General features: G+C 36.1%; 1 long non-coding RNA gene across 3 annotated transcripts in view, besides 1 other annotated feature; it reads left to right on the forward strand.

The window, feature by feature from the left end:
* The window catches only part of LINC01965 (long intergenic non-protein coding RNA 1965), a 205982-nt gene that overhangs the window by 162313 nt on the left and 26038 nt on the right, over positions 1–17631 (forward strand). For 2 of the 3 annotated variants that reach the window (XR_001739622.2, XR_007088674.1), the window contains exons 1-2: positions 7496–7566; positions 16903–17019. This is a non-coding gene — a long non-coding RNA (long intergenic non-protein coding RNA 1965). Of the gene's footprint in view, positions 1–7495; positions 7567–16902; positions 17020–17631 lie in introns of those variants that run through there. The other variant, XR_001739621.2, reaches the window with a different exon arrangement.
* Positions 14813–17589: an enhancer, noted in NCBI's record as "VISTA enhancer hs1303". NCBI's record gives its function as "enhancer in: forebrain[7/7]" and the evidence as "EXISTENCE:transgenic organism evidence [ECO:0001131][PMID:17130149]".

A 17631-nucleotide genomic window follows, 5' to 3' on the forward strand; every position in this document is an offset into this window, starting at 1 on the left:
TCTGGCATTTAGAATATGAATTCAAAAGACTTTGAAAGTTGCTATACAAAATCCAGATTCAGAATGATGTACAGATAACCAGCCATTTAATAGAGAACATATCATTCCAGATGGCCAGAATTATTCCAGATGGCCAGAATTATGCTCCCATAATTCATAATCTGAGAAACCTCAATAGCTTGAAGCAACAAGCTAATTTTTCAGTCATGCTTGAGGTCTAACATGGATTGGTGTTAGAGAGGAAAGAAGAAAAGTGTTCTGCTCCATCAGGTCACTCAGGGACCCAAACTGATGGAGACTTACCATGTGATGATATTGACATTTCAAAACAGAAATCTGCTGAGGCAGTGGAAGTGAGAACAGGGAACTATGCTTTGCCTTTCAAATGTCTCATCCAGAAGTCACCTATGACATTTACATTACATATCATTGGCCAAAACTAGTTGCATGACTACTACATTCCACTTCCAAGAAGTAGAGGATTGTAACCTGCCATGTGCCTGGAGATAGAGAATACGACAGGTCGGCTAATGCCTAATATCTCCCTTAGAAACCAGTGGCAATCAAATGAGTGTTAATGTGATGGGAATTTTAGAAAGGAATACTTTATTTTTAAATGTTGACTATTTTTATAATCAATTTTAAAACAAAAAATTTAAATCTTCTTCAAGAAACATTTAAATAATTCACCAAGAACTTTAAAAAATCTTAACTGTTAAAGGAGTATTTAGTGTTCTTCCTTTTAATAGGCCCTTATTTCAATTCTGGTGTCACCTAAAATGTCCATCTGTGCACCATATTGTCACACATTGGCATGGCTGATCCTTAGTATTCCTATTTTTTTAAAAAATTAAATTTCCATTACATGGGACAAGTAGGGGCTTCCTGTACTTATATGATCCCTGAGTCATGTTAAATCTGGGTGTTATTTAATCTTTGAGTACTTTTGACAGATTTTGATCCTGATGTTGATGCTTCTAACTTGCCTCCTGCATCTGACACTTTGCTGGTCAGAAGTATGTCTGGATCTATCAGTATACAGTCCTCACTTTATGTGTAAAGGCTGATTTCTAGGGCATCTGTAAATAATGACTCACTCATCTTCCCAATAGAATAATTTGCCTACATTAACTGAGACAGAAAAGCATTTAAGCCACTGTTTATGACCATCGATATAGAATATGAAGGAAAAAAAAGAGATACAAGAAAAGGACAAAGACTAAACAAGGTTAAAAAAATAAAAACCTCACTGTATATTGTACTACAATCCAGAAACAGGGTGCGATAAAAAAGTCAAAACATGAACAGGGATAAAAAAGAAAGTTCTGAATTAGACATAGGTATTAATAGGATCCTGAGTCCTGTGCTTGGAATTCCAAACTCCAAAAGAAGTGTTTGTTTGTTTTATTTATTGTCTCTGTAAATTTGGCAACAAACTCATTATGTAGTAGAACCCAACCTGAACTGAAAAAAGAGCATTTTAATTTTCATTTAGCCAATTTAGTATAAATAGCCATACCTTTCACTGTAGAAATGTTAAGATACTTGTTTATGGGGAAATGTCCCAGATCTGACTGAGGATGCTATGAAGTCTAGATGTGCAGCTAATAATACTCCACTCCACTCTGAAAATGTGTGGTTCCAGGGGTTTCCACTAAGGAATTGTATGCCTGTAGACAAAAGTTAATTTGGAGGGAAATTAAGAGATCTCATACGGTTTGCCACCCACTCTTTAATTACCATCTTGCCTCTCTGTGCCCCACGTCCTTCATTTGCCTGTGAAGAGCGTGTGTGCACTCAAAGACTTACTCCCAAGGTGTTTTATTCTTCTAGTGCTCTTTGACTTCATTAATTTTCACCTTGTAAGTTCTCCATACTTTTTGTCTTGTAGGAGACAAGTATAGTTCTCAGCTCTCTTCTACCACATGCACTGTGCATGTCAAGCATAATGAGGGTATTTAGGGGATTTATCCTCTTAGTTTCAGAGTGTCCACAAGGAAAAAAATACTGAAATTTAAAGCAATTGAAAATTGATTTAGACATAAAGTGAATAGAAGAACTTTAACTTTGTGTTTGCAAATAAGCTTGTCGTTCTCCCAAAATCATTTGGTTTTTATTTTGGCTTTTTAATGCGTTACATAAAACCTTTTAGACCTCTGCAAGAATTGTGGTTTAGTCTAAAAGAAATACTTTATGATGTTGCCTGTGTATGATGGAAAATCAAGCTTTATTACAGATGTTGTGGTTGTGTCCCAAATTCCCGAATCAATGTCATTTTTGTTAGAAGTGGTCGATATTATTCACACAATGAAATAATTCATTTGATTATTCCCTATATTATTCTTGTGAACATATTATGAGCCAGATTCTGTTCTTTATACTCATAAAAGTCCTACCTGACTATAATACTTTGAATGGAATCTAATTGATGTAATTGATTCCATAAGAGTTTGTGTGTTTGTGGATGTGTATATGTGTTTTCATGTGTTCACATCTAGCTTTAGATATTTATATTAATTTATATTAGGAAGATCTTTTAAAAACTAAGTTCTTTTACATAACTATTGGTTATGTTATGTAACTATTTTACATAACAACTTTATTTCATTGAGAGGGACTATTAATGAATAAGTGTAATAAACATTTTGGAGGACATCTTTCAAGTTAATGGATGTATCAGTTATATGTCACTGCAGAGCAAACCACCCCAAATCTTAGAGACTTAAGACAACAGAGTTCTAAGTCCTCCAGATTCTGTGGGTGGGCGATCTCGTTATTGCCTTTACTGGTTTCCCTCAATGCAGCTGCAGAGCTGAATGTTCCAGCGTGGCTGGCAGCTCTGCTGGCTAAGGTGCTTAGGTTCTTCTCCACTTGGCTGTTCATCATCCAGGAGACCGCACTGGGCTTCTACACAGCATGGTCAATTGAGATTCCCAAGAGTGTCCAAGCAGAAGCTGCAGGGCCTCTTAAAGCCTGGACACCAGAACTTACACATCGTCAGTTTCATGACTTTCCATTTTTCACACAAGTGGAAAAGACAGTCATAGAACAAAGAAGGAACACATCATATGGCAAAAGGGATCCGGACACAGGGAGATGTAATTCAGTGGAATTCAGTTTTATGAGTATATCTCCATGGGTTTTAGAACTACTGAGACTCTAAAGGCCTTCCTCAAATGAAAAATTTCTCTCATCTGCCCATTATTTTCCTTCAGAATGACATGTTCTCATCACAACTAATCTTCCCACACTTTACAAAATGAAGCATACTGACTGCCCATCCATCATTGCACTATGCACATTATGCTGAGGTCTGGAACAAAGGGAACCTTCAAAATGTTGTAGGTGTACACTTCTTGGTATTATTTTTCTCCAGTACAGTTTTCTTCTAAGGACAGACTATGATATTAGAAATAGATATTTTAGCCTATAAAATCAGATGCTCTGAATTCAGACATCTAATAGAGTGAAGAGTGATGGTAACTTTAAAAGTTTGTTGCTTCTTTCTTAACTGCCCTACTGTCAAAGAGTGTATCACTTCAAGGGGAGGGTCTTACAAAAGCCAAGCAAATAGAGCACCTGAAGGAAACACTATGGGGAAACCACCCCATTCCTAGCTCATCACAAGGCTCCCTGCTTTTGCTATTAATCTGATCATATGTTTATATTGTTTTCATCAACTGTGTGCTAAATATAGTTATAATGATAACTCCATCCAGAAAAACATAAATCATTATGGTCATAAAATATTATTTTTAGAATTTTTATTTACATACTTTTTTATTGCAAGAAGCAAGATTTGATTATCAATAAAAGACTTCTAAGCATAAAAATATATTATCCCAGAATCAACTTCTTTGGGGGAAGTGGAATGAAAATTGGGTTCAAGGAGGAAAAGGAACAATATAAAATTCCTGACTGTTAAAGAACATTCTGTGCATATTTTTTTTAAATGGATGTTGGTAAAAATCAAATCTCAATGGTATTTAGATTTCATTGGATATATTTTAAGGAGTGGTACAGCAGTTTTATTTTTAAATGTCAATATTTACAACATGCCAGAAGTTACACTCTTTAAAAATATTTAAATTTAAGAGAAAATATTTTGTATGCTTATGTATTATATGCTAGACGGCACATAGTTTGTCCAAATTTTTTAGGTTGTGTGAGTACGAGAAAAAGTGGGGGGAACCACTGATATAGAGAGCCCTCTAACTCATGGTAATGGACTTCAGGAAAAAACTAGTGTCCCTTTGATTATCTGAAAGAGACTGATCAGGCCCTCAGATGCAGTCAGGATACCACTGATTACACAGGGCTTAAGCCAGATTAGTAATCACCAGTCACACTGAACTGCATAAGAAGCCCCACGTCTAGAACTATTTAGCATAATAGCATCACAATGAAAAGAAGGCTAGCATTTGGGCTTTTCTCAGCTACCATTTAGATGTGATCCAAGGAAATTAACAGTTAACATTTTGGCAGTCATGAAATACTTTAAGGATCAAACCAAAAAATGTTGATACTCTCACAACTTATACTACCCTTGGTCCACCTCCCACATCAAAGTACAGAACATTCACACACCAAGGTGTGCATATAATTTCAGGGCTGCCTGGACATGATGCCCAAGCTTTCATTAATCAAGTTTAAGAACATCAGCTTTAAATGTAAATAACGTCTCATCATCCACCTGCTTTGAAAGCCCTGTAACACTGTACATAACTAATACGTAGAATTCAGCAAATATTTGTTGATGACAGCAGCTGATATTTGCCTTCCTTGACACTGCTTTTTGATATTCATTTTCAAGCAGCCTCAATTCAACATGAAAAAAAAAATCATTTTGGAAGGGGGTGAATTCACACAACCCACTTTCAACATAGTTCTCAAAGCATTTTGTAATAGACCAGCCTGACTGAGGCAACACCTAGCAGGCTGAAGCCTGTTCCATTTTGAACACACCAAGAACAGATTCTTGCTTTCATGCTTCAAAATATTCTTGTCTCAACTCCAGATCAGCCTTTCCATGAAGCATTCATTTTCTGTGATTTCTTATTTCACATATTCTACTTTGAAATAATTTAACATCATAACACTCAAACATAAGACAATATAAGAAAGAAAATAACTTGTATGGTTCTGTGAAGTTTCCTTCTGCCCCCATGCTTGTTTAATCTCAGGGGGCACCTCTATTCTAGTGTTTTATCTGCTAAAACCCTAATCTTAATTTTGACTATGGGAGATGCTAGTTAGAAAAGCTCATCCCTATCGATGAGAAGAAGAAAAGTTTCATATGAATTATAGATTTGTGAATATAAGCATTTAAGTTTCCAATAGTAAAAACACATAAATTAGTCTAAACGCTATATCTTTCTTAATTTGAATGTCCTTAGCACCATTGGTTATACAACTAATGTGAAAACAGCATATTTTATGCAGTATATACAAATCAAATTTTTTAATGTTTTATAGCTTTATTTTCACCTGCAGATGTTCAGACTTATTCAACTTCATTCAAAAATAGTATTTTTAGAGCAGACTACACAATCTCTTAAAATCACTGTGCTTCCACCTAAGAAAAGGTTGACTGGCCTGTCACTTGTACCCATTTGTTAGAGAAAGTTCCAGAACTTCACACTTACACTACAAGTAAAAGTTGAATTTAACCTATTTGTTGACATAGTTACAATTATACTTCATTTATTTTGGTTGCTAACCTAAGAAAATAAAAGCTAAGCTGGGTTGACTGCTGTAGAAATACAAACCTATGTGATAGCAATGGCTAACATTTATTCATTATTCAACATATGCCAGGCACTGGTTTAAGGTCTGGTATCTTGTTAAATCTTCATAACAACCTACAAGGTGGGCACTATTACCTGTATTTCACAGATACAAAGACTGAGGCCCAGGGAGTGTAACATCCCAAACCACACAGTAAGAGATGGAATCAAGTCTCAAATGCCCATGTTCTGGCTCTAGACCAGTTGGTATTTAAATATAACTATAGAGCAATTAAAATTAAAGAAAATTAAAAACGAAGTTTCTCTGTCACAAGCCAAATGTCATGTGGCTAGTGGCTACCATATTGGACATGACAGACATAAAATATTTGCATAATCATAGAAACTTCTATTGGATGGTGCTGTACTAGATCACTCTGCCTTACCAATTACTAGGAAAAAAAAATTAGATTACAGGTTTTTGTTTTAAATCACGGATGACTTTAATCTGTAAATGACATCCACATGTTAAATTTGCTGATTTTTCTCCCTTATTGACTACAACTAATATTTTGTTATAACTAGCCATTCATTATGCAGGCAAAAAGTTTTCATTGAGAAAATCTAAGTGGCAACGATCACATCCTATACACAGACACTAAATAATGCTTGAAACATCAAGAAAACGGGCTGAAACGATGAACCAAATTAAAAATGTTTCATCTCCTGGCTCAAAAGGGAAAGATGGCTTATAAGAAAGCATGAAAGGATTATAAAATTAAAATTAAAACGTAAGACAATTAAAATTTCTGCTGACGTACCTCTTAATGCTTAAATAGCAATTGGAACATTGGTGATATTGGCCATAAATACCACAGTCCCAAGTCAAAAACATAAAATTGACATTACATATACTTAAGTTAAAGTGGAAATTTGAGGGATAAATTTTGAAGCCTAGTACATGGCAATAAAAAAATCTGTATAGCAAATTGGGAGTTAACAATAATTTTAAAGTAGGCTTTATTTGATAAAAAATTGCACCATCAATTTCATTTAAATAGCAGTCTCAGGAGGAATTAGAACGTTCTATAGTTGAAACGCAGCATTGACAAGTAAAGGGGAAAAAGGCAACTTTACTTTCCCTTAATAATACCAAAATATGTGTTAAAATAAAGTAAGTGAGCTAAGATTTTCAAAGGCAATTTGATTTCTATGTGGGGTTGTCATGCAATACTACATGCTGTTAGAGAAACTTACTCTTGGTACAACTTGGCTAATACTAATCTACCTTCAGAATCCTCGTTTTAAATCCAAGTTAACAGTTTCACAGGTTCTTTTTTAGTATATATTATGACTTACAATGTGTAAAATCCTTCCAAATAATGTTGGCCTAAAGTGCCTGCTAAATCCACTTCCATTTGGGTTAAAAGACTTTTGAATGGGCATTAATGTTGGTGCTGGCAGGACAGACAGCACTTTCTTCCTCATTCCAATAATGAACATTCTGTGGGCCTCTTGCTGTTTAGAGCGCTTGCAAAATAGAAATGTGTCCTGTTGTCTACTAGACATTTTAATAAAATTTCTCGAAAAATAAAGAGGAAAAGCTCAAGTAGTGACTACAGGATGCCAATTGTTAAGATTTTGTGTCTGTAGTCATCTCTGGTCTTGCTTTCTTCTGTCTGCCCTCTCTCGAGTGTGCACGGCAGCTGCAGCCCCAGTTCATACTGGAGCCTCCGGCCAGTGTTTGAGGAGTTATTTATAACCACCTCTGCTAGACTCGGTCTAGGTCAGACAAGAGAGTGTTGAAGACCAAGGGAACCTGTAAGACTCGGCTGCTACTGTGAGTCCTCAGGGATTTACATCGAGTACCTTTTGTCGTTGCTGTTGTTTTAAAAATGTCAGGAGAGCAAAATTTAGCATGTGGAGTTCTATTATAATCTGAAATACTTATATCATCAAAAGTAAAAGTTCAAAGGGATCGTGATGTCTCCCTGCTGACTTCCAAAGGCAAACGTTTAAGGGAAACAACAATACAATGAAAATTACCAAATTATGAAATTAAAAACATAAAGTAAGGGGTGTATACATGTAGACTTAGTGATATTTTTAATATCTGAAAGCTGATATTTTAAGTAATTTTTTAGGAAGAAAGATAGAAGTCTCCATTTCTTGAAACCTTAGCCTAAGTCTTTTCTATGTTTGTTTGAAATTTTTGCCAAGTTTCCTTACAAAGTATAAATATATAAAAGCATGACATAAAGAGCTAATGGTATCCAGGTCTCCAATTAAAATCCCCAACTACCAGGAACAAATATTGCATCTTCTCAGGGTAAATTAATGTTTAGTAAATTCGGACTTTTGCATGTTTATATAATTATACTTGAGACATAGTTGGAACAATAATAGGACATTATTTAATTTGTACCTCTGAATGTCATGACCAAATGTTAAAAATAAACATCTTGTACTTGCATACACCAAAATAATGTAACTGGACAAATCTCATAATTTATGATGTTAATTTTATCTTCAATATTCCTGGTACAGTAAAATTAAGATCACTGAATAAACTGATAATTTCATCAGATTTATGTCAAATATTTAATTTATTTGTATTTTTAAGTTGTGTTCAAGGGAAATTAGAAAATATTTTTAAATTCATATTTACTCCAAAATTTTAAAGCTTATAAATTCAGACAGTCTCACTTGAGTCCCCAAATATCTTAATTTGCTTTGAAGAGAAAGTATTTTTTCTTTCATTCATATAATTCAAAACAGCTAAACAGATTCTACTTCAACAATTTAAATGATTCACATGTGAGAACAAATATGGAAAATCTAAGCCCCAAACAAAATTGCAGACTTAAATTATAATGATAATTTAAAATGTGTGTAATATAATTATAGTATAGGGTCTGCTATAATGAGCTCGGCGATACTATATCTATATCAAATGTGTTAGGACCGCGATATTAGATATGCCTTTCTCTGAGCATTTTTTTACACATTTCTGAATTACGATACCTGTGCCAGAATCAGTCTACTGTATCAAGGATTTTTTGGATGGAGAAATGAATTTTTTAAATTGTCAAAACATGATAGAGCAAACTTTCATTTTCTACATAGAATCTACTAAAATATGAATATCAACTATGTATGAATTTTAAATGTATAAAGATAGTATGTACTCATTTTGAAAATATCTCTGTAAGAAAGTTGATACATAAATTGATAATTCAGATTGAATAATTTTATATAATGAAAGTAAATTAGAAACTTTTTTTACAAATATAAATTAATAATCATCTGTTCTTCCACGTAAATGCTTAATTTTTTCCATATAAATACTTTTCTTTTAGACATAAAAATATGTCATACTAAAATGCAGACCCTCTTATGGCACTTATATGTTTTTTGAATATTAAACTAATACTCTATTGTTGAATTGACAAATATACATCATTACTGCATATAAAAGTTTAGTGTAGTAACAGAAAACTATTATGCACACAGACAATTGTGTTTACAGTGAGTAGTTCTATGACAAAACAAAATTATCCTATTTGTTAATTGAAAGGGAAATACAGTTTAGATTAAAAAGTCATTGATTCCAGGTTGAGGCAGGAAGGCAATGCAGAATTATTGTCTTGAACAGTCATGGGCAATGTACTGTGGATTCAAGAAACAAAAAAGGGCTTAATATTCAACTGCACATATCCAAATAGTCATTCATTCATCCATCCATTCATTAGTCAGTCCATCCATCCATCCATCCATGCATCCATCCATCCATCCATCCCTCAGTCCATAACCTTTCATTTAACCAAAGAACAAATTAATAATATCAATGCATAAAATATTGTATCTGTGCCAAGATAGTACTGAAGAATACATAATGAGCATATAGCTTATCCTTCTACTGGGGAGACATACATATAATTAATTAACATATAAAATACAATTAATTAAAATATACAATCAAACTCTGGTGAGATCTATCTATCTATCTATCTATCTATCTATCTATATATATATATATCCCTATGGTGACACATAAAAAGGTGTGATAAATTCAAAATTGGGAAGAAGAGTGGGTTTTTTATAGGAAGGTAGAGCTGAGTCTTGGTGGACAAGTTTGGTGCCTTTAGTAACAGGAAGCTCCAGAGGTTACTGCGTCATTTCATCACTTCCAAGCACAGATTAAACACATAGCTGGGGTTCCATAAATGTTGACTGCATAAATGAAGAGAGAGAAAACTGTCTAGGCTGAGAGAATAGCATGAGCAGGTGGAGAAACAGAGAAATACCCTGTGGCTTTCAGAAGGAGTTACAGGTGTGGCTGGTGTATGTGGTAAGTGGAGAGGTATAGTGGGAAACGAAGCCCCAGACACAGGGGAGAGCCAGCTGGTGAATCATATGGAAATTATGAAAACTGATGAGATAGCATCTCCCCTGCTTTGAACTCTGTTGAAAAAGGTAAAATTATGTTTGGACACTGATCCATGAATCAATAAAAACAGCAGAAAGATCAGTGCAAAGACAGAAGAACGAGGTCTTGAAATGATGCATATTTTACAATATCTTGTCTTTCCAGTTCAAAGAAATCTTCATTTTTCAGAAATCAGAGTTGGACAGAAATAAACTGACCCCAGGGGAGTGATATTTTTCCTGTAGTTAGTAGCCTTTTAATAATGACTAGTTTCTGAATAAACAACCTGCATAAATAGGTCTCTATCTCTAGATCTATATAATTTGCTACTCCTGTCAGCGTGGGAAGTCACTCCCTCTTCAGCAGAAGCCTGCCAGGCCTGGACGCCAGGTGTGTACCTTGACTGATGAGGGGGCCGTAACCTGCTGACCCCACCCCCACCCCTGGTTTCCAGGCTGCCTTTTATCCGGAGCCCTCACTTCATTTTCACTCACTCTCTCTAAAAACACCAAGAAACCCTGGGCCCATCATCAGCTGTCTACTGTCCCCAAGTCCCAGCTGGTGTGGACTTCCTGGCTTACTCCTTCTTGTGCCTCTTGACCCTGATTTTGGATTCTGATTCAAGTTTAGGTAACTCCTCCTCTCTAGTTGCTGATTGTGGCTGGATTTTGGAACTACCTGTCACCTTTCATTTACCTTTATCAGAAATCCTGAATTAGGCTTTCTGACATTGCCTCCCTACCTGGGATTCTGACACTAAATCTAGACTTGAAAAGCTTCCGGGTTTTATTTATGTTTTTATTTGTTTGGGTCTTGTACGGCATCAGCCTTTATCCTAATAAAGATAATCCCCGATTTCTAACAATTCACATGCCGAACAAAGACGTGCATACTGCAGAGCTCTGCCACGTGTAACTTTAATGCACACGCCGTGCTAGGTGCAAATTGGCACATTGGGTTCCTAAGGACGGCCCGTCTGTCAGCAGGCAAGCAGGCCCTGCTAGAGTGCCCAGAGAAGCTTGAGGTGGGTTTTCAAAAATGCATTCTAAATCAAAGCAAGTGCATGTAAAACAGAGTACCTTTTCAAATATTTTAATACAATGATATTTTGAAATTTTTTACAAAGAATCTTGAGTGAATGCAGATTCTTTTTCTAGCCTATCTCCCTGCAATTTTGGATTGTACGAGTTAGAATGTAGTTATGTATAAATATAAGCATAGAACACTCCTTCACAGCAGAAAATTCTTCCTAAGAGCCTGCTGCTGCTTGTGGTGAGAAATATGTGAAATAACTCTTTTACAAAGTAATAGAAGTTTTAAGTCAAATTATGCTAATTTTTTCATAAATAGACACAAATTCAGGGGTGTAATAAGATGCAGTATGAATCATGCCCAATCTTCTAGACTGCCCTTATGGGAGAAAAAAAATATTTTTCTAGTTAGAAGACAGAAAAAAAAATGATATGTTAAGCTATTTCCCAAATGCCTGTTGACTCATTAATACATATTTAAGAAATACCTCCACCAATAAAATCACCTATCTTGGACTTTCCTAGGAGTTTCAAAAAAATTAATTTAACATACTTTCAGTAGTGTAAGAATATTTCTTTTGGCACAGCCATTGCATTCTGTGGACACAATGGCCTTTTACGTAAAATAGACCATATAGAGCAGTTAATTTTATAACTTTGTTCAGAGTTTTGCAGGGATTATGTGACGTTTCAGCAGTATGGATACATTTTTTTCATAAATATCAGTTCTCCATAGTCCACTAACTGCTGCTGCAGTGTCTTTAAATGTCAAATGACTTTTATCGCTCTTCCAAAATATTTAAAAAGGATTTTTGTTTGTTTGTTTACATCAAACTCTTACTTCTATCCTAGAGACAGTTTTAAAGTTTCTCAATGCTGATCTATCCCATTACCACAATTACCACCACCTCTACCACCGTAATACCACATGCAATCACAATCGACTTGCTGGAAAAAAAGGGTAATTAAATCCTGAAATAAACCAAAGGAATATAAATTATATATGCAACAAAATCTATAGCAAGTGTTCATCAAATTGGCTATAATCTCCTTTCCCTTAATATTATATGTGTGCTGAGAGTCTGTCTACCTTCCCTCCTTCCTTCCTTTTACTTTCCCTTCCTTCCTTCCTTCCTCTTTCCTTCCCTTCTTTCCTTCCTCCCTTCTCTTCCCCGCTTTCTTTCTGCTTTCCTTCATTCGTTTCATTTTTGGGGGTTTGTTTCTTTTGTTTCTTCTTTCATTTTATCATTGTATTTCTTTCTTTCTTTCTCTTTTATTTATATTTTGCACCTTGTGTCCTTAGCTTCCTAGTCTGGGCTCCTTCTGTTTCTTCAAATGCAGGCTCTGCGTATACATAGCACAGAACCTGCTTTCTTCCGGCCACAATTTGAGGGAAGAGATGACAAACATAGGAAAAGTCAGTGGAAAAGATGGTTGAGATAGTTCGTTTCACCCTTGTATTCTGTCCTGCTATTTTGGTGATGTTTGTTATTTAGTGTGATGAGAGTTCTGTGCTGTTGCTAAAACTTACAGAGGGCCAATAGGCAGAAGTAGCTGCTATGTCTGTTCTTGGAAGTTCTTGAAAATCAAAAGGAAAACATTAACAATTCTTTTGGGATCCATATCTTGTGTTTTACTGAGGTGTCCTAAGGAGTCATCTCTCTGCATATTTTTATAGGAAGCTCTCCAGTGGTGCCTTCTGTCTGTCTCATGTCTGTCTGGTGGAAACTGGTGCCTGAGGCCATGACACAAGTACTAACTTTTCCTTCCTCCACATCCTCTGAGTCTCCCTGTCTTTTCAAGGCCTAACCTGCTGAACTTAAGCACCCTTACCATGGGTACAACTGTGGGCCGCTTCCTGGCCAAACTATCCTGGCTCGTGAACTTATGTAGACAAATTCACAATGTTCTTAGGTTATGATTTATGATTTGTTTTTGAAATTGCAAAATCACTTTGATGTGAACTGCTGTTCTCCGAAACCATTCCAGATGTTTTTAAAACTCCAGAATTATCAAACAAAAATAAAACGTAGTAATAATAATAGCTAATATTACGGAAAGAGAGCTCATCAGTAATTTAGGCTTGGCAAAGTATCTTGGCCTGGTTTGTGAATTTTTTTGGTTGGGCAAAATTCGTTTGGCCAAGCGTTTCCCTCTTAATTTTTAGGCCCCTGAGTATTACAGAGGAAACTTAATCCATATGTTTCTGGTTCACTGCCTCTTAAATCGTCAAAATGTTGTTTTCCAAAAGCTTTTTAGTGTTAAAAGAATTTATCGGACACTACACAAGTTCTCGAAAGTGTTTTTTACCTCAACTGGTAGATCCCAGTGGACATGAACTCAAATTCTTAGAGTTTGGTTCTAAATTTAACATCAACAAAGCTTGACTGGGGACCAAAGCAGCCCGACAGCAGTTAGTGCTTTGAAAAGTACGACATTATTGGAAGAACACATGTGTTGAATGGAATGTACAAGTAAAAGCACACCAAAAAGCAAAGTTTGAGGGATGGATGGCAAGCCTTCCAAGGAATGACTGTTGTGTAAATTTCTATTTGATGAGCATTCCTTTACATTCTAATTTTCCAGCCACTTCTCCCCAGGCCCTTCAGCTGTATTATATCCTGGGTAATTCCGTTTCCTATACAAAAAAGCAATTTTTTTTTTAAAGTAAGTATTCTGATAATCTTGTCAGAGTGAAAAGGATAAAGAAAAAGACATAAGAACTTATTGTTTAGAATGCATCTTGTAATTTCCATAATTCACTACAAAAAATCATTCCCTGCCAGTTTATTTGATTTAACATCATCCAAAGTGTAAGGTTACATGGAATAAATAGCTAATTGGGTTAATTTAATAGCAGGTTAAATCTTTCTTTTATTTTGTCTAAAAGGCACATTAAAATAGTGCAATTTTCAAGTGGTCTTGGAAATCTAAAGTAGATTTTCTTGATAAAAAAAATTTATATAGCTTTCCCACTGCTGAGTTTATAGTGGGAGTTGCTGGCAAGCTTCCAGTTCACCGCATGAAAATCTAAGCTGCCTGTATAAGTGCAGAATTTAGTGTTGGGTCTTAAGGTTTTGTTTGGCATCTTGCCAAAGATGTTATGCATTTAGCTGGGAAAATTGCCTAGAAGTTAATTGAGAGGAAAACACTAATATACAACCTCCCCCCCTTAAGAAAAAAAAAAGCTACAGATATGCATATGGTGCTGTTCATTGATAAGATTTGTATGTATACAATAAAGACTTATAGTAAAGTTGCTTAGAATGGATTTTCACTGATTATCCACCCACCATATATCTGCGCCTTTGAGAATGCTGGTAGTTTCTCCAGGATCAGGATTTCTTCATCACAGTGCCTGCTCGGTAGAGGTACGAGATCACTGAAGTTCCTTTAAAAATGTTACTGACTAAAGGATAGTTGATGATTCAGGAATTCGGAAGAGGATATATATTAATTTAATTTCATAATCAAATATCTTAAAAGGGACACTTTGGTGCAGGATCTCAGTGTCTTCTCTCCAGAGAAGATAGGTGGAATTTGCTCTGTACTCTCCTATAAAAGCACACTTGAGCCTCCACTGAACTTCTCTTTTCCCCCGAGAACCACCAGTGCCTGGGTAAGCTCTCAGGCTTGGTCTCCTCAGGGCTGAAGCAGCACTTCTTGTTCAGAAATTCATGACTTTTTAATTTTATCAATAGTCCTTTTTACCTGAATTTTGCATTTCCTGACCCTGGCAGCTAACTTGTATTTTCTTCTCTCCTGAATTTTCTCTCTAGTGCGATAAATACACCTCTCCTCTTTAGTCTGTGACCTTTTCCCTTCTGTGGAATGCCTCCCCGCCAACTTTGTTTTGTTTTTTATTTTTCTTTTCTGATCAATAATCACGACAGAGACCCACCAGAATCACCAAAGAATTAACTGCGTGTATGTCCCACTTCAAAATGAAAGTAAAGAAAGCCGGTCGTATATTTTTGTTCATTGGATTTAGATTAAAATTTATCTGGGAGAACCCACTCACACAGTCATGCCCAGTAGTAATTAAATCACAGTTCCCCATACTTTCCATTCCTCCGCAACCCCCTCCTTTCTTAGAGATGCCTTAAGCCTTGGATAGAAAAATAACACTTCCCCAAAATCCAGTCCAGCCTGAAGCTGGAAAGCCTTGCTCTTCAATGACAAAGCTCGCAGTAAGTGGGCTTCTTGGTCACTTTCAGAGCCTTTCTTTATGGTTCTCACTGTGGTCTTGCAGAAAGAGCTTGGAGGGGGAGGGTAGTTAAGACAGAAGAACAAAGCTGGGGGGTACGCTTTGGGCCCGAAACCGAGAGAAAAGTGATCCTTTCATTAAGACGAGTGTTCTTTTGTACCTGCACTGTATCCTTTTGATGTGTTGAGGTAGAAAGGATATGAGGAAAGAAGAAACAATGAGAGTTGCTACTGTATGAATTCCTTCTCCTTATACTTAATCCTGTCCTTATTGGGGCCTTGGGTGGAAAGCTGATAATTTTGGTGAGCCCTAAAAGGAAGGCAGTGGCTTGAATTCCTGCCACCATCCCCTTGATAATGAACAAGCCTAATGAATGTGGGTAAGTGGTAAGAATCTGTGACCAGCTGCATCGGGGCAGGTAATACAGCTCAGATTTAATTGGGAGCAGGTATTGGAAGGCTGTATTACTTTAATTGGTGAGGGGTTTTCTAAATGGAAAGGACAAAGTATAATGGACAAATTGTGTAGTACAATAGCACTTAAGCTGGGATTGTATGCATTCGTTAATCTGCTGAGGAATGAGGCAATTCTAAACAATTTTCTCAGTGAAACCAACTCCAGAAAGCTTGTCCCTTTTGTTCTCCCTTGGGAAAATGCAAGATTGAAACAGAAAATACCTTTACCGAGGCAATCATTTGCCACGTGTGGAAAGCGGATACAGCTGTAAACTATGAAAAAGGGATCTTTGTAGTACAATAAAGGATGGAAAAAGAGATAAAGCTTGGGATAAGAGTGGGCCTGTCAGTGCATCTATAGGAGGAATAAAGTGATGGCATTTACAGTGACAGATGAGACTCTAAAGAGAAGGCAGGACAGTTTAGAGAGGGAAATTTGATATTTAAAAGAAAGGGCTGTGATAATTAAAAGTAGCATTACATTAAGCTCTTATGCATATCATTAATGACAGAAGGAAACTGGTGGCTTTTAAAAAGTTAATGATTCCTATAAAACCATTCTGGATACCTTACATTTTTTAAAAAGTCTGTATGAACATAAACCTGGCCTCTCAGTTTGTATTTCTGATTCCCAAATTTGCTTAAAAATATAAAACGCAATGAAGTTAGAATTAAACTCCAGTAACTGTGTGTCATTGTCCACGGAAGAGTGCTCAAGCACTGCTCAGTTAAGAAAAGGATGGACTGAGACCAGCCGCGTACACATTGCTGCAAAGGGCTCTCTTATTAAGATGTGGGCCTGAAATGAGCCCAAGGGACATTCATTGTCAAACGCGCATTAGTGCCTTGTTTCTTTTGATAATTTATATTTGACAAAATCCAATAGCATATCTATGGAATGGCATTAAAACTGCTTCCAGATTTGTGGTTCAATGATGAGTGAGCTCTGACGAGGTTGCTTAACAGGATTCTCAACAGGTTGAAACGTAAGAGTAGAAGAGCAATTGTATTGAAATTCTTAATGGGGCTTTTACACTTGTATATTTCATTACAGGTGGGAAAACTGGAAAGATTGAATGTCCTTTGGAGTTCACAGAGGTTTGGCAGTGGGAGGAGAAAAACAAAACGAAGCATAGTGGGAGTGTTGAACAGACTTTCCCAAGATCCCCAGGTGGGTTTCATGTATTGCCTAATGGGAAGAGTGGGACCGATTCAGCTTTTCACACTGGCTGAATTATCTTACCTGGGCTATTGTTCACAGCTAGAACCAAATCTACAAAGCTACAGTTTATCTAAAGAATTCTTTGGAAAGAAAACTATTTCACTATCCACACATCTAGATCCCACATATTGGACAGCGCAGGCTGTAGCCTCAGTCTCTAAAGTCCAGACTATAAAATTAAAAAAAAAAAAGTTCACAGTGTGAAATCATATTTATTCTAAAAGTAAAGAATAAAACCTTTTCTGGCCATTGGTGCATAATAGCAAAATTTTGCTTGAAACTCAGCCAAAGATGCCATAAACTATAATAAAACGAAAGATACCTCATGTTCATCAAAGTATATTCACAACGAGTAGTCAGGAGACTCACTACTTTCACATTGGAAGAGATATTTCTGGTAATGGCCACTGAAATTCACTACTGGGCTTCCACATTAAAAAATTAAAGCCTGTCAAATTCCTTGGGCCAGGGTAGAAGTAAAATAGAAAATAAATAGCTAGAGTTCCAAACCATTATCTGTTTTAAAGATTGTGATGTGGAGCATTGAAGTGCTAATCTATA

Source organism: Homo sapiens, chromosome 2 (genome assembly GCF_000001405.40).
Source record: "Homo sapiens chromosome 2, GRCh38.p14 Primary Assembly".
NCBI classification, from domain to species: Eukaryota; Metazoa; Chordata; class Mammalia; order Primates; family Hominidae; genus Homo; species Homo sapiens.